Below are 20,524 nucleotides of genomic sequence, written 5' to 3' on the forward strand. Positions count from 1 at the left end.
TTGGTTGGATTAAGGATGCAAAGTATTGTTCCTGGGTGTGTCTGTGATGGTGTTGCCAAAGGAGATTAACATTTGAATCAGTGGACTGGGAAAGGCAGACCACCCTCAATATGGGTGGGTACAATCTAATCAGCTGCCAGCATGGCTAGAATAAAAGCAGACAGAAGAATGTGGAAGGACTAGACTGTCTAAATCTTCTGGCTTTCATCTTTCTCCCATGCTGGATGCTTCCTGCTCTCAAACATCGGATTCCAAGTTCTTCAGTTTTTAGACTCTTGGACTTAAACTAGTGATTTGCCAGGGGCTCTTGGGCCTTCGGCCACAGACTGAAGACTACACTCTCAACTTCCCTACTTTTGATGTTTTGGGACTCAGACTGGCTTCCTGGCTCCTCGGATGGCAGAAGACCTATTATGGGACTTTACCTCGTGTTTGTATGAGTAAATACCCTTTAATAAACTCCTCTTCATCTATCCTATTAGTTCTGCCCCTTTAGAGAACCCTGACCTAATACAGAATGTAAATTAGTACAGCCATTTTGACAAACAGTATGGAGGTTCCTCAGAAAATTAAAAATAGAACTATCATATAATCTAGCAATTCCAGTTCTAGATATAAATCCAAAGGATATGAAATCTGTATGTTGAATAAATATATGTACTCTTGTGTTCCTTGAAGCATTATTCACATAGCCAAAATACAGAATTAACCTAGGTTTCCACCAAGGGATGACTAGATGAAGAATATATGATATAAATTCTGTATATGTATATATAAATATATATATTATTTATACGTATATGTGTATACATACACACATACACACACACACACAATGGAATAATACTCAACCCTACAGAAAAAGGCAATCATATAATTTGCAACAACATGTTTGGACCTGGAGACATTATGCTAAGTGAAATAATTCAGGCACAGAAAAACAAATAATGCATGGTCTCACTTATTCATGGAATCCAACAAAGTCAAACCCACAGAAGCAGAGAGTAGAAGGGTAATTGCCAAGCACTGGGATGGGGTTTCAGGAAGGGAGGCATAGGAAATAGGGAAATGTTGGTCAAAAGGTACATGTTTTAATCAGACAGAAAGAAGTTCTAGAGACCTAATATGCAGCATGATTACTATAGTTAATAATATATGTACTCTTGAAAATTGCTAAGAATGTAGATTTTAAATGTTCCTACCAAAAAAAAGTCAAAACAAAATAAGTATGTGAGATTATGCATATGTTAGCTTGATTTAATTATTCCACAATGTATACATATATTAAAATGTCACAATATCACATTGTATACAATAAATATATATAATTTCTATTTGTCAATTTTAAATAAATAATAAAGAAATGAGATAGCTTTCAACTAAGCTTATATAGCAGTATAATATAAAAATTTTTGTAGTAACAAAATTATAGTAATTTTGGCTTATACTGAAATGTGCATTAAACAAGTGTTTGCATAAAATATAATTCAAATTACTATTCATAGCCCACAGCCATGAAAACATGTGTGCCTTACTCTTGGTACAGAAACAAATAGCTTTTACTCCTAAGGAAAAAAGAAAATTCCTGCCTTTTGATGAGAATTGTTTGAGTTTTATACTTATTTTATGGGGAACTTTGCTGACCTCTTCATTCCACCATAGCTGGTTATTCCTCCCTTGCATGTACTTTTGTTTCCTGGGGGCAGTGAGTCTTGGAAACATTTGGGAAATTCTTATTCTGAGCTTGCCTGCCCACAGCCCAGGTTCCTTCCTGGAGTCTGCAGCACCAGGCTCTCTCCTTGGCTCTCTTTCTGTCTTCTGTCCCCTCAGCTCATAAACCCCAGCTCGTAGAAGCTGAAGCCACCTAGACTCTAAGACACCTGATTGCAGAGACAGGAAAGGAGTTCTCAAGATAAGTGCCAAGATTTCATACTGGTTTTCACAAGAATCAGGGTTGGAATTAGAGCCGACTCATTATTCAGTTAACATTGACATTGTTGATTAGAGACATATCCCTATTGAAAATATTTCCTGGCAAAAAATAGAAGTTCTCTTTGGCTCTGAAATCTGCAACTCCCTTTCAGATGTCCCTGTGTCCTTGTACCGTCACTCCACAGCACTGCACAGGCATGTGCTCACCTCACAAAATGGCAGTCTCAAAGGGAGGAGTGCCCACCCACAAGAGGCTCCACCCTATTCTGAGAAAGAACTTCTTTCAGAGGAGGAGAGAATAGAACTTTCCAGAACCTTTTACATGAGATTTTTTTTTTTGGGTAGGAAGTCTGACCTGAGCAGCAACCTTGCATCAGACTTCAAAAGGCAATATTTCCTATACCTCCTTGTGCTCTACTAGTGAGTACAGAAGTCGAGAAAATGTTCCTAAGTCTATGGCCAGTTCAAATAGTCTCATTTTCTATTTCTGAGATTAAATTATATGTATTAAGATCCTTACTCTGCCCTTTCAGGTTTATTGCTCCTCAGACAAGATATCCCCTCTTCAGGTCCCAAACACATTCATTGCAATGCCTTTCCTCATCCTTGTCCCAGTCCTGGCTCTCTAGCTTCTTGAGACAATAACCCACCCTAAGGTATGTTGTGACATGCATCTTCTGTGTCACTGGGATCCCTAAGTGGTACAAGCATTCACTCAATTGCTTTAGCTAGAGTCCCCAGAATATCTTCACCTCTTCTGTCACATTCTTCTTCCACATTGGTCCATAAACACATCTTTAACATTTCTGTTTATTAAAACCTCTCAAATTCAACCACTATTTTCTATCCCAACGAATACTGCCTTAGCTCAGGCAACCACTGTCTTCGATCTGAATTACTTCTTTGACCTGAATTACTTCAACTCCTACCAAATATCCACCTACCTGATGTCTTACTCTCTTTTCTAACTCAGTTCATTCTCTGCAGCTGAAAACACTTCCTTTCCATTGACTTTAGGGTTATGACCAGTCTTCTTTATATCTAAATGTTAGCCTATAAGTTTTTTCGTAAAAAAAAAAAAAAAAACTTCCAAACTACAAATTCTTAAAACCCTCCATAATTTGGCCCTTGCATACCTATCCAGTCTTGTGAAATTCACCTACTCTTTACCCACTTTTTGCATACTTATGCTCTAATAATATTCATAATCCCTCAGCTCTCCCAAAGCTCCATATGTACTTTCTCACTCACTCCTGAGCCTTTACACATGCTGTTCACACTAGCTAGAATAATCTTTCTCTCCCTATTTATCTGTACTCCTAATCCTTCATGTTTAAATGGCATAATCATCATGGCTGAGTCTCTGACTATGCGTGGTAAATACCCCATGGTACCCAGAGCTTCTACAATCATAGAGTATCACACATTTCATTGTTTAACTTATTATGATAGTTTTTAAAATTATTAATACAAAATATGCTCAATGAGGCCAAGGACCATGTCCAAGGTTTTAATTTTTGTATCTTCAACAGTATTACAGGCTTTGAATAAAGTAGTTGCTCTTTAAATATTTATTGAACAAACCAGGGTTTTATCAGTTCTTGCTTCCCTAGCTAAGATATGATCTCAGTCATCTAAACATTTCTCTCTCAGAAGTATTGCTGCAGTTATTTAGAGATTTTCACATTGTGGTAGACTGAATAATAATCTCCCAAAATATTCAGATCTGAATCCTTGAAAATCTTGAATATGTTCTCTCACATTGCTGAAAGGATTTTGCAGATGTGATTAAGTTAAGGATCTTGAAATGGGGAGGTTTTCCTTGATTAGCTGAGTGGGCTCAATATCATCACATACTTTCCTAAAATATCTTACCTAAAACCACCTCTGTGAAGCCCTCTTTCTTTTCCCAGACAGATATGGAGGTTTCTTTCTTTATGTGTTTATAATAAATTAAACAAACTTCAACTTCTATCACTATGTTATGATATTTATGGTCATGTCTGACTCTTCCTAGACTAGTATGGTTTTTGAGGGATTGGACTATATATTCGCTTACCTTTGTAAATCCAGTATGTAGGACTTGGTACAATATATTGGATACAGAATTATAAGCCCGATGGGAGCAGACACCTTTATTTGTTGTTCATGCTTATATCCCAGAATCTAGTACTATGTCTGGTGCATGTAGTAAGAGTGAGGCAAGAGGATGCAAGTCAGAAAAAGGCTATGTGACAATGGAAGTAGAGATCGGAATGACAGACACACTTTGAAGATGGAGGAAGGGCCCTGAGCCCAGTAGTGCAGATGGCACCTAGAAGCTGGAAAAGGCAAAGAAATGGATTCTCCCATAAAGCCTACAAAAGGAACACTACCTGCCAACACCTTGATTTTTAGCCCCATAAGACTCATTTCAGACATTTATCCTGAACAGGACAGAAGCAAAAAAATGGAATCGATCAACATAAAAGCAGAAGTGAATAAGGTAGAAAATGTTTTAATGATAGAACTAAGAAATAAGCAAATGAGATAATTGTTTGCCAGCCAAAAGACAGAGAGGACAAATATACTAAAACAGAAGTGACAAAGGGAAGTATCATGATAAAATCTATTTTTAAAAACAATATTTTGTATAATTCTCTGCAAACAACCTAAAAGCCTAAATGAAATGGCTCACATTATAAATTTAGCAAAACTGACCCTAATGTGGAAAAAAGCCTAAACAAAACAATGACTACAAAAGAAATAAATGAATTTGTAATAGAATTTCCTCACAGAAAAGTGCCAGTCCCATATAGTTTCTTACAGGGATTTTTCCACACCTTTTAAAATCAGGGACTTTGAGAATACCTAAAACATTGCAAAGTATAGAACAGTAGGGGAAATTTCTAAATTATTTTCATGACATGAGCTAAATATTAAGGTGCAACAAAACTGCACCTTAAAAAAAAAATCAATCTATAGACTGGCCAGGCGTGGTGGCTCATGCCTGTAATCCCAACACTTTGGGAGGCTGAGGGTGGGGGTGGATCATGAGGTCAGGAGATCAATACCATCCCGGCTAACACAGTGAAACCCTGTCTCTACTAAAAATACAAAAAATTAGCCGGTTGTGGCAGCACGTGCCTGTAGTCCCAGCTACTTGGGAGGCTGAGGCAGGAGAATCGCTTGAACCTGGGAGGTGGAGGTTTCAGTGAGCCAAGATCATGCCACTGCACTCCAGCCTGGGCAACAGAGCGAGACTCCATCTTAAAAAAAAAAAAAAAAAAAAAAAAAAAAAAAAACTATAGACTTACATCACTGATTAGTATTGATAAAAAAGTATTCAATAACAGAGAATCAAATAATGACACTAGAAAATAATCTACAAATTGGTGTTTGCTCCAGGATGGTAAGGGTATTTCAATATTAGTAAACTTACTCTTAAAATCCATTATATTAGTCAATGGGTTTGGCCTGAGCACTGGGAAAGGGATGGGTAGGAAATACTGTCTCAGAAAGGCATTGAGAGAGAACACATCCTAATCCTATCTGGAAATTTACACTCCCCTTCAGCCATTCACGTCTCTTAACAATAGTCTCCAGCTTTACTGAACTCTTTGCAAACTCCAAAAATACCATATTCTCTTAGATATTGCATAGGCTGGTCCCCCAGCCTAGGTCTACCAGGAAATTATTTGTTTTCCTACAAATCTTACTTAAACCCACACTACCTCTGTGAAGTCCTTTCTTCCCACGGAGATATGGAGGTTTCTTTCCCTATGTGCTTACAACAATTTAAAGTCTGTTACTATATTATGGCTTTTTGGTCATGTCTGACTCCTTCTAGGCAAGTATGGTCTTTGAAAGATGGGACTGTAAATCTGTTTACCTCTGTAACTGCAGTAGTAGGACTAGGAATGATATATAGAATACAGAATCATAAGCCCCCATGGAAGAAGAGACCTTCTTTTTGTTGTTCATGCTTGTATCCCAGAGTCTAGTACTATGGTGCACATAGATGTATATTTGTTCAATAATATGAAAGACTCAAATATGCCTTTGTGGAATTGACCCTGCACTTATGCCTCACCATCTCCTACTTACCCCGGAATTATTTATTAACTATCTCATGTCTTAGGTCTCATCTCCCTTCCCTAGTTAAGAGTGGGCCCTGTTGCTAAGCAGGTCAAAATAGGAGGCTGATGAAGAAAATCTCTGTGGAAAATGCTGAAGAGGAACACAGGAATAAAAATACCTTTACTCTGATGATGCCTTATATAAGGACAGATGCAGTTGGTTTAAACTTCTACATTGGCTCATTTCTATGAATGCCACACCTCTCAATTTCAGGGACTTCCCGTGAGGGGCTTCACAACAATCTCTGGGCTCAGTGGGGAGCTACTCCCTTGGTGAATCTCCTCACTGCCACTCAATGAGCCATCAGGGTGGGCCGTCACCTCTGCTAAGCCACAGAGGTACACCACATCCTGCTCCTGAGAGGAAGGGAAAGACAGAGGATCATAGGAAGTAAACCCCTTGAGGAAATTTCAATGTGGAATTTATTCTGTTTCTTGAGTAGCATATATATTTTCCCCACCTCAGACCCTAACCTCAAGTGAACTTACTCCCAGACTCACACACATAAATATATGCACCAGCACCATCCCAGCAAGGAGGCAGCTGCAACAAAAAGAAGCAGGTGGGAGAGTATTATATTACATATTTAACTACAGGATCACTCCAAGAATTACATCCCCTAAAATTATTCCCTCCATTGGAAGCAGACTAGTAGCCAATAGGAAGAGAAATTGCTAAAACAAAAATGTGTTCAGTTGGATGAAGTATTTATTCAAAACAGAAATGTATTTATGAAGACATAATTCTTCAGAATTATATTATAAGCTAAAAATAAAATCCTATACCCACCAACTGACTGAAAGGACCATCTCTGGGACAAGGGCACCCCAGAGTAACCTTGAATGTTGAGTTCTTGGCCAGGACAGGATGGAGGGATCAGACACACCTTATTATACCTCTCCCTTAGAGCCATGATGAGGTTTGCTTCCCTAAAGGCTAAACACAAACCAGCCCTTTGAAAAGACTCTAGCACTAAAAGCAACAGAAAGTCTGATGCTGTCCCTCCTTTTTGCCTGGTAAAAGGCCACCAACCAAACAGTGTTTCTGGCCAGTCTATGGAGGACGTGTAGTGAGGCTTTTGGTGTCCTTTGCTTCACCTTTTGATGTCAGAGAGCTGAAAACTCCACCCCCAGATCATGCTAACATGGCCAGTTTTTTTTTACAGGAATCCCATGAAGGGGCAGGAAACTCAATTGTGGATGTATATGTTTTTCCCTTTATTAATATTCATGACTCCTCCTATAGCTTATTGAATATCTGTATTTGGCCATTCCACTCAGCATGTATTTCTTTTCCCTTTGCCTCTCCCTAGATGTGTGTTTCTGGCTTCTGGCCAGAGGCTGTGCTTCCCAGCCTGTCAGAATGGCCACACTGCAGGCTGCAACCCTTTATGAGAAATAAAGCTCTCCCTTCCAAATTTGAACCTCCTCATTCTTCCATTGACAGTATCAAAGATCAGATAGTTGTAGATGTGTGGTATTATTTCTGAGGGCTCTGTTCTGTTCCATTGGTCTATATCTCTGTTTTGGTACCAGTACCATGCTGTTTTGGTTACTGTAGCCTTGTGGTATAGTTTGAAGTCAGGTAGTGTGATGCCTCCAGCTTTGTTCTTTTGGCTTAGGATTAACTTGGCAATGCGGGCTCTTTTTTGGTTCCATATGAACCTTAAAGTAGTTTTTTCAAATTCTGTGAAGAAAGTCATTGGTAGCTTGATAGGGATGGCATTGAATCTATAAATTACCTTGGGCAGTATGGCCATTTTCACGATATTGATTCTTCCTATCCATGAGCATGGAATGTTCTTCCATTTGTTTGTGTCCTCCTTTATTTCATTGAGCAGTGTTTGGTAGTTCTCCTTGAAGAGGTCCTTCAACGTCCCTTGTAAGTTGGATTCCTAGGTATTTTATTCTCTTTGAAGCAATTGTGAATGGGAGTTCACTCATGATTTGGCTCTCTGTCCATTATTGGTGTATAAGAATGCTTGTGATTTTTGCACATTGATTATATCATCATTCTTCTAAGAAGATACCAATGAAGTTTCAAGGATGATTCAGCATGATAATGAACTGTTTGTAATCATTCAAGATATACTAAATGCTGAAGGAAGTCAGTTAGAAATAAGAAGTAGGACAACCAAAGGATAGAACCTAGAAGAAGACAAAGAAAGGATTTTACAGAAGCTGCTCATGAAAAGAGATCCACCAATTCTGAGATAAAAGAACTGGGTTTGAGTAAGCCACTTGTTATAAGCATGCTCAAGGTTTTCAGAAAAAAATAAACAGAGCTAGTCAATGATACCTGGTAATAAAAGATATTTTGAATTTCAGGCCATTGAGGGTAGCATGCTAAGTGTGGTTTTAGTTTTGGGAATTAGAGTAAAATGAAAATAATTTCTGAAGAAGTCTCCAGCCAAACTTTAAAAAGAAAAAAATGCAAGGTATAGAATATTTGAAAAATTTATTATTAATAGTTGAAAGTACATATTTTAGAACTGGACTGATCTGGTCACCGTCTAGTTTTGCCATGTTACTTAACCTCTCTAAAGGTAGTTTCCTAGCCTATAAAATGGAAATAGTCATACCTGGCTCTGAGAGGTTTTATTTAGTTGAGAAAATGTATGTAAATTGCCTGACACAATCCCTAGCCAAGAATAAGACTCAATAATAACTAATGGCGGTAGCAGTAAGAGTGCTACTACTAGCTGACCATTCTGAAAGTTGAGCCTGAGTGAGTGATAACTATACACTGTGCAGTTGTAACTTCTTAACACATTAATTCATGTAATCTTCACAGCAAATCCACAAGGTTCATACTTTTATTAGTACAACTTACAGAGAGTAAAACTGAAGCATTCACAGTTAACTTACTTGCGTAAAATGAGCTTAAGTAGCAGAACCCATATTTAAACTTAGGCACTCTCTCTCCAGAGCTTTCTTTGTTAGCCACTAACCTTGTGGTAGTGCAATCAAGTAAATGGGTTTGTTGTCTGATATGCTCAGAAGCCAATAAGCATGGCACCAGCTTTTGAGAAAAGAAAAGGTTTTACTGCAAAACTGGTCAGCAAGGAGAAATAAGCCGGCTCAAATCTGTCTTCCTGATTCGGGGTCTTGGACAAGTTTTAAGGGACTGAGAGCAAGGATTTAGTGATACTGGGTTGATAGGGTCTGATTGGAGGGTTTCAGATTTAACCATTTATGGTAAAGTAGGTTGAGGCAGATTTGAGCCCAGATCTTTCCAGCCAATGAACCCCTTGCTTCTGAAAGAGTTTCAGCCTCCAGATTCCAAGCATCTTCCTGTCTTCTTGGTTCCGAAGGGAGGAATCGTTCGTTCCAGGTGTTATTTGAGGTCAAAGCTTTTGGCTCTGTCGTACCTACAAGCTAACTCATATTTTGTTATCCACATAACAGACCCAGTTTGGGCTGATCCTGCAGTTACAAATCCCTCCCTTTTTGTTTACTTTAGTTCTCAATCTTGAAAAAATAGAGTGTCTACCACTCTAGCTACTTTTTGTTGACAAGGGACATAGGTCTGGGTTTGAGGAATGAAATTGTTTCATAAATAATTGCAAATATTCATAGGTCCTGAGTTGAGGTCAAACAGGTGGGTCAGGGAATTCGATATTTAATAACTATTTCATGAGCAGGGGGAATTGATTTAACAATCAATTTAAAAAATAGACAGCAGGTAGAGACCTTGAGAGAAGGAAGAGAAATCTTAACACATACAGAAATATAATTTTGAGTTTAAGTAGACCCTCAAAAAATAGATCTTATTCCTAATGAAAACACGCTGTTTACATATTATATCCAGGTTTTTTAGAGAACACTAGATGGCGTCGAGTGGCTTTTGGTCTATTATTTGGGTGGGTCTCAACTTTTTTAGAAGTATTAATGTAAACACAGCATGACATATTAAAGCATAAACACCTCTTTGTTTAGCCAGTATATAATCTAGAGTAATTTTATTATCTATTATTACTTTAGCCAAAGCACCTGGCTCTCTCTATTGAGCCACCATGGCCATTGTGGTCTCCTTGGCAAGCTTTTTCAGGGCAATGGAAAGGTTTTTAATCATATGTTTATAAGAAGCAACTCCCCACCATGGCAACAGAGTTTGTCTAAAGAAATATCCTACACCATCTGGTGGGCCACCTGGTAAATATTTAACTGGGAGGAGGTTTAGCATAGATCTTTTGGCCAAGGTGAACAGTTTTATGGTGTTAGTCTAATGCCCAGCATCACTAATGCCACAGACAGAGAAAGGAGTGACTAAGTACCCTAGTAAACAGATGTCTTTGGGGCATCAGCTGTCAAGGCATTCATAGTCCGAGGGCTGGTCGTTTGTTTCATAGACAAAGACATATCCTGAGGAGGCGCATAGAATACCAGATATGTTGCCGGGCGCGGTGGCTCATGCCTGTAATCCCAGCATTTTGGGAGGCCGAGGCGGGCAGATTATGAGGTCAGGGGATTGGGACCATCCTGGCCAACACGGTGAAACCCCATCTCCACTAAAAATACAAAGAATTAGCCAGGCATGGTGGCGGACACCTGTAGTCCTAGCCACTCGGGAGGCTGAGGCAGGAGAATGGCGTGAACCCGGGAGGTGGAGCTTGCAGTAAGCTGAGATCGCGCCACTGCACTCCAGCCTGGATGACAGAGCAAGACTCCATCTCAAAAAAAAAAAAAAAAAAATACCAGATATGTTAACATCTAAGTTCTCAGTTTCAGGAATTTTACTTAGGACTTGGTCAAAGTAGGAGTCAGAGTATAGAGGAGTCTAGAAGGAGTTATCTAACTTACAAATTGGTAGGGAAGAGGGCAGTCCTTGAAGGCATACTAGGTTCTTTTTATTTAACTCTTGATGTAATCATGTAGATCTACAGTTTGAGGACACATCAGTGTATATCTCCTGGACCAGAGGATAGAAAACAGGAAGTGGAAAATAGGTGTGTTAAGTAAAGAGATGATTTTCGTTTCTGCGTTAGCCAGTGTCTGGCTTCTGTGGGCATGGGCCCCTTTATCCTCAGTTTTAAAGCTGTTAACATAAGTGTCTTTGCAGGGGATGTTAATGGAAAACAGGGAACTAATGATCCTCCCCCAGCAAATCTGACCCTACAGGTTATACCTGTGGGTTTTTTATCATAGGTCACCAGAATATTAGGCACTTTAGAGAAGTTGGTCACAGAGATAAGCAGCAGATCAGTGTGATCAAGTGCAGAGGAGGGTTTTTGATGACATCTCTAACATTTAGATAGATTTTGTGAGGTAGGTAGGGATTGGGACATTTTTATCAAGAAATTATCTTTTTGGCCAGTCATGGTGGCTCATTCCTGTAATCCCAGCACTTTGGGAGGCTGAGGTGGGTGGATCACTTGAGGTCAGGAGTTTGAGACCAGCCTGGCCAACATGGTAAAACCCTGTCTCTACTAAAAATACAAAATTTAGCCAGATGTATTCACTTGAACTCAGGAGGCAGAGGTTGCAGTGAGCGAGATCATGCCACTGCATTGCAGCATGCACGACAGAGTGAGACTCTGTCTGAAAAAGAAAAAAAAAAAAGAAGGAAAGAAATTATCCTTTTATGTTGAGGTAAGGCAAGCAAAAGGATGTAATAGAGGAAAATTGTGGGCATTTTTAACAGAGGAAATCATTTTGTTTCCCTGAGAGGAGATATTTGGCTGATAGAAAAAAAAGCATCAGAAAAAAATAAACTCTACCCAAGGAAGGGCTATAAGGTCCCAAATAATATTTTTGAGGTTAAATCAAGGAGGTAGAGATGATTAATTCAATAGCATAGAATAGTATATATGACAACAAGGCAAAAATTAAGTTGCATTAATACAGGCCTCGCCCAATATCTTGGGCAAGCTGTCTCCTTTAATTGTCTCCTGTTTCTGCCCTCACAGTTCCATCAGATGGAGGCTGGTTTTAGAGACAGAAATGGATTTCCACTTATCTGGAGAGTTAGGAGCCCTTTTGGCCTTATTGGGTTTTTTAAAAAGTAACTTAAAAAAAGGTTAGGGGTTTCCAAGTGAGTTCCTGGGTGGAAAAGCTGGTTGTGGGCCTCCACAGCCATCTGGTAGACGGTCAGTCTGGTCCTTTGGCTTTTCTTATCTGTGAAGGGCATGACCTGTTTGGGAATTTTACAGGGGCCAAGAGGAATCTTCTGAAAATGGGAATAACTTTTACCCATGAATGATGAATTTAGGGCCTCAACACTTTTAACTTTATTGCTGAATGGATCACTAAAGGAACTTCATAAGGACCTAATCTGTTTGAACTGTAGTTGGTCTTCAGGGTAGCGGTTTTTCTAGGTCTTAAGTTGTACTTAGTTTCCTAGACTTAGACAATGTAAAGGAACATCTATAGGAAACATTAAAACAGCTAGAAGCGTAATTATGTATAGCAGAAAAAGTTATACCCAGAGACTGTACACATTTTATAGCATCTAATGCATTTACCCATCATGATCATTTTCAATATTAAAACAGTATTTAGTCTTAAGAAGGGTTGTCCCACATAGAATTTTGTAGGGGCTAAACTGGTGCTTACTTTTAGGGGTCATTCTTACTCTAAGCAGGGCAAGTGGCAAGATCTTATCCTATGTTAAATTGGGTTTTTGACACATTTTGGCAAGTACTTTTTTTAAGATATTGTTTATCTTTTCAGTCTTTCTAATAGACTGGAGCCTCTAAGAGGTGCTTAATTTCCCCTGTATCCTAAGAGCTCCATAAATGTCTTAGGTAAGTCTGATATCTCTGTTGTCACTTTGAATTGAAAATGACAATCCAAAGGAATTATGTCTTTTAATAAAGCTTGAGTTACCTCAGATGCATTTTTTGTTTGACATGGAAAGACCTTGACCCATCTAGTGAAGGTGTCTATAAGTACCGACAGGTATTTATAGTTTCCTCCAGCTCCTGGCATAACTACAAAGTCTATTTGACAATCTTGTCTTGTTTCTGTTCCTCAGGTTTAGACCCCTTTGCCTGCTGGAGGTGGTTCTGTCTTTGGATTCTCTGTAGCACAAATAAGACAATTTTGGGCAGCCTTCTGGATAGTCTTTTGTACGTGCAGCCTGACAACAAACTTTGGTAACTAATGATAGGTTGTGTTTCTTCTATAATGAGTTCTTTGATGTAACTGGGAAATAATCCTTTATCCAGTGCTCAGGGACAAGAACTATTCCTTGCTCATCGTAAACCTAGGCTTCTTGTTTTATACTGTTCCCTATCCAAATCTTGAGTATAAGTATGAAATCCCTACTGGTTTGCTCTTTCTAGATTTACCTTTGAGTACTGGGTTTAAATAAGGACAGATTCATACTTGGAATAAGTACCAGAGCCTTTGTTTTAGGCTCTCTTGTCCTGGCTGTATGTTTTTCTGCCTGATTGGCTAGATTATTGCATTTAGTTATCTAGCTATCAGTCTCTTGGTGTCCTGGGCCGTGCATTATGGCCATTTTTTTTGACATCAAAATTGAGTCTAATAAGTCTAATATCTCTCTTGTGTGTTTAATTTTATTTTTTATGAGATTAATGAGTCTGTCTTTTATATGGTCCCATTTGCGTGCACTACCAAAAAGACGTATTTGGAGTCTATATAAATGGTTACCTTTTCATTTGTCCTGAGGTGTGAAGCTTGTGTGACGGCAATAAGTTCTGCCTTTTGGGCAGAGAGAACTGATGGGAAAGCCTCAGCTTTTAACATTCTCTGGTAAGTCACTACTGCATATCTGGCTTTTCAGAGACCCTGATCCATGAAGCTGTTCACACTGGTAAACATTCCCAGGCCTGGGTATTTCAAAAACTGATTTGTCAAGCCAGACCTGTTTTTGTAGATCCTCTTTAGGGATTTCAGGCAATGGTCCTTCTTCTACCTGTAATAAGGCAACTTGGAGGGTGCAGTCTTGTTTAGGAGACACCTTAATATTTACTCATTCTGGTGAAAAATTACTGTGCATTTAATTTTGTTAGCAAGTCTTATCCCAACAAAGGTATTGAACATTCAGGCATATATAGGAAGCTATGTTTAAATAGGTTTAATAGGCTTTTCCTCTATGGCATTTGAGTGGCTGAAAGAAAGGTTTGCAAGGATGTTTCCCCAGATGCACCAGTAATAGCAGTGTTCTTTGGGAAGACAGGGACTTGTGTTGTGTTTGGAATAGAGTATGTAGCTCCATGGTCAACTAGAAAATCTATGCATCACTTTTGCACACCAATTGTCATCTGCACTTCTTGGTGGGAAATGTTTACAGAGCTAATAGAGTGTATAGAAGTCCCTGGGTCTCATCATTACTGGTTGCTATGAGTAAGCTGTGGCATGTGGTATGTTGATTTGTGGGGAGTTTTATCTTAAAAGACTATAGACAAGTATGTTATTAAAGTTTCCCATTTTGTATAGAGTTTTACCTGAAATGACTGGAATAAGATCCTGTAAAAAGGAGGTGTTCTGGTTCTGTGGTATTGTGATTATGGGGATTCCTCTTCAGAGAATCACCAATGGGCTAGATATTCCCTCTTATGTGTCTCAGAGGGTCCTAAACACCAGATGGTATTGGGCCGCTTGAGATGTTGGGGTTACCAAGGCCCCTTGTATGCTCCTCCTGGATGAGCTATTGAAGTTCTAACCCAGGAATGGGGTATGTTTTTCTGGTGGGGTTGCCTATAAAATCACTTTACATCATAAGCCAATTGCCTCAACACCTCTGCCAGACTCTTAGTCACTTAGGAATACCCTAAAAGGGCAGGAGAAAGCAATGTATTTCATCTTTGGAATCCAAGGACTTTCATTTAAATAAACTTCTAATGAGGTTCTTGTCACAACCATCAAAAATTTTAACCTCTGTTAGGATGAATAATTATGCAAACCAAAAACTCAGAAACACAAAGGAAAACCAAAACCAAGCCGAATTGAATACTCAAAAAGTTACAGCACCTTACTATTGTACTTATTTTTTTGGATGCTAACCCAAAGCCAGGACTGAAATAATCTAACCAGGACCTCCCTAGGGTAGGATTCAAACCCATGAAGCTGCACAAAAATAGGACTCTAATCTACAGTCCTAGACCAAAGACAATTTAAGGTGTAAGCACATATTAACAAGGTATTGACTCCAAAAGACATCTTATCCAGAAGCAATTTCTTCCCTCAAAAGAGAAAGTAGCACTCAAAGGGCCTGAAATGTCATGACAGAGAATAAGGACCTCACAGCTAAGCCTCTGGATAAACTGGTCTAGGTAGCACCACTCAGGGTCAGTGAAGAAACTTTAATTCCCACTGAGGGGCTACAGTGCCTTGGCAGGTGTTGGCCTCACATTGGGCACCTATATTTGTTATCAAACAAATGGGTTTGCACACAGAAGCCAATAACTATGGCACCAGCTTTTGAGAAAAGAAAAGGCTTTATTGAAACACCAGTCAGCAAAAAGAAAGGAGTGAGTTCAAATCTGTTTCCATGATTTGGGGTCTAGGGCAGGTTTTAAGGGATCAGAGAGCAAGGGAAAGGATTTAGGAATGTTGATATGGTAGGGTATGATTAGAAGGCTTCAAATATGACTATCTATGGTAAGATATGTTAAGAAACATTTTAGCCTGGGATCTTCTGGGCCAGTGGACCGCTCACTACTGAAAGAGGTCTGGCTTTCAGGTTCCAGTCATGTCTTGGTCTTCCTGTTTCTAAGGGGAGGAATCTTCGGTTCTGGGTATTGTTAGAGGTCAAAGCTTTTACTACTGCACATGCCTGGGCTACATGATTTGCAGTTATGTAGCTGTTGGCAGTGTGGGAGATGAGTGTTGTTTCTCTGGCCAGGAAATAAATGAAAAGTGCTGGTTATCAGGGACTAAATTCATCACAACACCAAGCAACATCCTGCTTTTGGTGCTGCCATGAGCAACAGGCTTCTCTGCTGTGTGATCATTTGTCTCCTAAGAGCAGGTGAGTCCTGGGCACAGGTAAGGAATCCCTATTACTGAATTCACAGGATCTAACTATAAAATGTTTCTTCATAAAACTCACATTAGTCTCCTCTTTCCCAGGCCCTGTCTCTATTTGATCATCCATTTTTCCCCCCAACAGGCCTCAAAGATGCTGTAGTTACACAATTCCCAAGACACAGAATCATTGGGACAGGAAAGGAATTCATTCTACAGTGTTCCCAGAATATGAATCATGTTACAATGTACTGGTATCGACAGGACCCAGGACTTGGACTGAAGCTGGTCTATTATTCACCTGGCACTGGGAGCACTGAAAAAGGAGATATCTCTGAGGGGTATCATGTTTCTTGAAATACTATAGCATCTTTTCCCCTGACCCTGAAGTCTGCCAGCACCAACCAGACATCTGTGTATCTCTATGCCAGCAGTTCATCCATAGCACTGCATAGCCATATCCTCTCCACACAAAAAAAGGTGCATACCAAAGAGGAAAAGCCTGCCCTCAAAATTCCTCACCCCGAATAAGAGAAGTTTCCTCACAAGTATTGACAAAAAGAGCCAAACTCTGTAAAATATTTGAAGAGATTTATTCTGAGCCAAACATGAGTGAGTGTGGCCAGAGGCAGAGGCTCAAGAGGGCGTAAGAACATGTGTCCAAGGTGCTCAGGCTACAGCTTGGTTTTTTGGAGACATCAGACATCAGTCAATACATGTAAGCTGTACATTGTTTCAATTTGGAAAGGTGGGACAACTCAAAGAGGGGGCTTCCAGGTCATAGGTGGATTCAGAGATTTTTCAGGCTGGCAGTTGGTTGAAAGAGTTAAGTTATCATCTAAAGATTTGAAATCAATATAAAGGAGTGTCTGAGTTGTGGGGACAAAGGTTCTTGTTATGCAGATGAAGCCTCCAGGGAGCAGGCTTCAGAGAGAAGAGATTGTGTTTCTTAATCAGACTTTTAAAAGGTGCCAGACTCATAATTCTCTCCTGGATCAGGGGAAAAAACCTGAAAAGGAAAGAATTATCTACAGAATGCAGATTTTCCTCATGATAGACAGCTTTGTAGGGCCATTTAAAAATATGTCAAAAAATATACTTTGGGGTAAAATATTTTGATTTTTTTCAGGGCCTGCTGTGAGTCATGTTGGTGTCTTATTGCTACAAAAGGTCTGTTTTGTCACTTGTAAGGTCTCCATTCTAATGTTAATGCTGGTTGGTTGTGCCTGAATTCTAAAGTGAAGAGGGTATAATGAGGCATGTCTGACCCCACTTCCCACTAAGACCTGAACTGGTTTTTCAGGTTAACTTTGGAATGCTCTTGGCCAAGAGAAGGGGTCCACACAGTTGGTTGTGGGGCTTGGGATTTTATTTTTGGTTTACACAAGATTATACCAAAGCCCTTCCCTAAATTTGATATGCCCTGCTTCCCTCTTTCCATTTTTGTCCTTCTAGGACATCTTTTTGGTTGTTATTAAACCCTTAGTTTCTTGTCAATATCCCACTAAACTACAGGGCATCAACATGATATGAACACTTATCTTGGTTTATTTGTGCTACTATAGCAAAATGACTGAGATTGGATAATTTGTAAACATAAATTTGTCACAATTCTGTAGGCTCGGAAGCCCAAGAACAAAGCACCTCAGTTCAATGTCTGGTGAGGGCCTTGGTCTCTGCTTCCGAGACGGCACCTTGAGTACTATGTCATCACACGAGAAAAGTGCCTAAGCTAGTTCCCCAGCCCTTTTATGAGTCACTAATTCATTCATGAGAGCAGAACCCTCATGACCTAATCACTTCTCACCTCTTAATACTGCCACAATGGGGATTACATTTCAAAATGAATTTTAGAAGAAACACATTCAAACCACAGCACATTTCTAGACAAACTTTCAGACACAGATATAGGGAAATTTTAATGAAATTGAATTTTACCAAGTAAAGACAAATAACCCAGATTTGCAAATACCCTTCAAAGATTCTTCAAAGCGATCTCAATGGTTAATCGTGTTGTTTAGGAAAATAAGAACAGTGGCAGCAAGACCTCCTCAGTGGTACAATGGCTTCAGCAGCAGTAAAAGAGGGTAGTAAACATTATGCAGACTTTGTGTGGGCTCAGGATCACCCACAGAGAAGAAGGTTATTTGCATGTATGTGTGTAACTGTGTGTGTTTAAGAGAAATGAACTATGTTTATTTACAGGGATTATTGAGGAGCAGAACCTCAGTTGGGTAGATGCAGGTATAACTTTTAAGATCAATATCCATGTCTTTGAATAGATAGGCTAGAGATACAGATTTACTGAGTAGTTCCCCAAAGATGCATGTTGGGTGATAACCACCTATACTAGTTTTCCAATTACTGCAAATTCAGCAGGTTAAAGTAACAATTGTCTTATCTCATAGTCCTGTATGTCTGAAGTCCAAGAAAAGTGGCTGGATTTTTCTCAGGGTCTCATAAGGCGGAAATCAAGGGGTCAGCTGTCTGCATTCTCATCAGGAGACTGGCTCCTCCTCCCAGATGATTCCTAGTATTGGTAGAATTTGGTTCCTTGTGACAGCAGGTCTAGGGTCTTCATTTTTTATTGGCTGTCACAGACAGCCAATGAGATTGGTCATTAGCTCCTTGCAGTTTCTTTCTGGTCCTCTTGATCTTCAAATGCACATCAAATCTGTCTCATGTTTAAAATCCCTCTGATACCCACTTCTGCTTCAAGACAGAAAACTCTGCATTTAAAGGGCTCTGGTGATTAGATTAGGCCAACCTGAATAGTATTTATTTTGTCAAATAATGTAACATAATCGCTGGAGTGACATCTCATTTTTAGGTTCCACTCATGCTCAAAGTGAAGGACATTATACATGGGCATGAGTCATTGGAGGTCATTCTTGGAATTCTGCCTATCATATCAATGGAGGTCAAATGCCAGGAAAGTCAAGAATAGAAATTCAGAGAGCATACAATCAAATACATTAAATTAGAATTCAAAACTATTCAAGAGATGGTTAAGAGTTTTGGCCATGCAGTGCATCAAATTTTCTTACTACTGCTTAATCAAGGACATAGTGCAGAAGTAGAATGAATTGGTCTTTATTAAAATGGAACAAAGACCAGGTCGAGGAAGGAAAGGCAAAAAGGTAGAATAGATTTGGCTCTTACTGGAAGAACACTGGAGATTAAAGACGAGAAACAGGATTGTTTTAGTCCCTGAGTTAACAAAAGAGAAGAAAGATGAAACCAGAACAGTTGCCAATGAAGGAGCAGTGAAGTGGAAAGGCAGAATGGAGTGAGTGTGGAGAGCACTTTTCTGAAGAGAATAAACTTAGTTGTCAGATGAAAAGAGATATATAATTAGCTTTGTCCTTATAAATTTTGAGGTAACTTACTATGGAAATACTTTTTCTTATCAGTTAATTAATTTGGGGAGAGGTAGCACAATCCTTTGAAATTCCAATAAGTAGAAAACTACTTATTGGAATTTCAATGACCTCAAGATGAAGCCTTGAAAAAGAAATGTCTGTTAGAATCCAGTTAACAGGAGAACACCTACTGTGACTATTATCAGCAAGTTGGTGAAAACTTCCTGAAGAAGAAATGTGGGATGATACAGAAACTAACTAAAGTCTCGGAACAGCAAATAGTTTCTCCTCTTGTGAATTAATTCACCTTCCACAATTAAGCAGAGATAACTCAGGGTACCTCAAATACTTATGAGCTTCACAGAAATGAATTGCTACCAAATTCCATTGATGGAGGAAGATAAGAAAATGATCAAAGAAAATGTACCTTCAGAGAAGAAGAATTGTTGAGAAGGTAGCAGTCCTTTCTCCTTTCTCTTTCCATGAGGTAGTTGCTATTCATTACTTTATGATGGGGACTGGGAACACAAGAATCACCACTCATGGATTAATGAATTCAAGATCTATACTTTCCATTTTGATTCCAAATTTGAACTTAAATTTATTCAGGACACCAACTGAACACTTCTACCTAAAGTTAAAACTCATATCATATTTCCCTCCCAAGATGCATTTCCTCTGAGTTCCTGACTTGACAGAGTCATTTGTTTGTACAATATATGAACACTGAGAGTCATGCCACATTTCTTTCTCTTTTGCCCTGGACATCCAATTTTTATGCAAGCACTTTCATTTCTAATTCCTAAATATCTTAGTTCTTTGTTTGCTATCTCAATCACTGCAACCACTGACATGTTTATGCCCATTTTACTAGCTTACCAAATAAATATAAAAGGTCTCATTAATCTCTCTAGTTCCTTATTAATCCTCATTTCATCTAATCTAGTATTATTAGTATACCCAAGTATAAACTTCCAAATTGCAAAGATCTGTTTCTATCACTCTTTCTGCAGCATCCTTCAGTGGCTCCCCCATGGTCTACAATATATACAATCTAAGTTTATTAAAATGAAAAAAATTATGACTATCCCTTTAATATTTTGAAAAAAGGAAAATTAGTCCTTTACCAGAAAAAAATAGCACTGTATTATAATGTCAAGTTCACACTAGAGTCTA

General features: G+C 39.0%; 2 pseudogenes and 1 further gene, besides 9 other annotated features; all 3 read left to right on the top strand.

Moving 5' to 3' along the window:
* The window catches only part of TRB (T cell receptor beta locus), a 514,277-nt gene that overhangs the window by 380,747 nt on the left and 113,006 nt on the right, over positions 1-20,524 (top strand).
* TRBVA (T cell receptor beta variable A (pseudogene)) lies at positions 1,658-2,112 on the top strand (annotated as a pseudogene). The gene is given in 2 exon segments: positions 1,658-1,705; positions 1,845-2,112. Coding segments are annotated over 2 exon segments (316 nt in total).
* Positions 2,113-2,119: a recombination feature (RSS_heptamer).
* Positions 2,120-2,142: a recombination feature (RSS_spacer).
* Positions 2,143-2,151: a recombination feature (RSS_nonamer).
* On the top strand, positions 15,942-16,426 carry TRBV26 (T cell receptor beta variable 26 (pseudogene); annotated as a pseudogene). The gene is given in 2 exon segments: positions 15,942-15,990; positions 16,132-16,426. Coding segments are annotated over 2 exon segments (344 nt in total), but the record flags the coding sequence as incomplete, so codon positions are not given.
* Positions 16,226-16,857: an enhancer, noted in NCBI's record as "NANOG-H3K27ac hESC enhancer chr7:142403795-142404426 (GRCh37/hg19 assembly coordinates)". NCBI's record gives its function as "activates a minimal SCP1, AML or CMV promoter by ChIP-STARR-seq in naive H9 embryonic stem cells {active_cell/tissue: H9 hESC(naive)}" and the evidence as "EXISTENCE:reporter gene assay evidence [ECO:0000049][PMID:30033119]".
* Positions 16,427-16,433: a recombination feature (RSS_heptamer).
* Positions 16,434-16,456: a recombination feature (RSS_spacer).
* Positions 16,457-16,465: a recombination feature (RSS_nonamer).
* Positions 16,858-17,489: an enhancer, noted in NCBI's record as "OCT4-NANOG-H3K27ac hESC enhancer chr7:142404427-142405058 (GRCh37/hg19 assembly coordinates)". NCBI's record gives its function as "activates a minimal SCP1, AML or CMV promoter by ChIP-STARR-seq in naive H9 embryonic stem cells {active_cell/tissue: H9 hESC(naive)}" and the evidence as "EXISTENCE:reporter gene assay evidence [ECO:0000049][PMID:30033119]".
* Positions 17,060-17,354: a silencer, noted in NCBI's record as "tiled region #352; HepG2 Repressive non-DNase unmatched - State 24:Quies". NCBI's record gives its function as "represses a minimal TATA promoter and a strong SV40 promoter by Sharpr-MPRA in HepG2 cells {active_cell/tissue: HepG2}" and the evidence as "EXISTENCE:reporter gene assay evidence [ECO:0000049][PMID:27701403]".

This window comes from Homo sapiens, chromosome 7, assembly GCF_000001405.40.
Source record: "Homo sapiens chromosome 7, GRCh38.p14 Primary Assembly".
In the NCBI taxonomy this organism is placed as follows: Eukaryota; Metazoa; Chordata; class Mammalia; order Primates; family Hominidae; genus Homo; species Homo sapiens.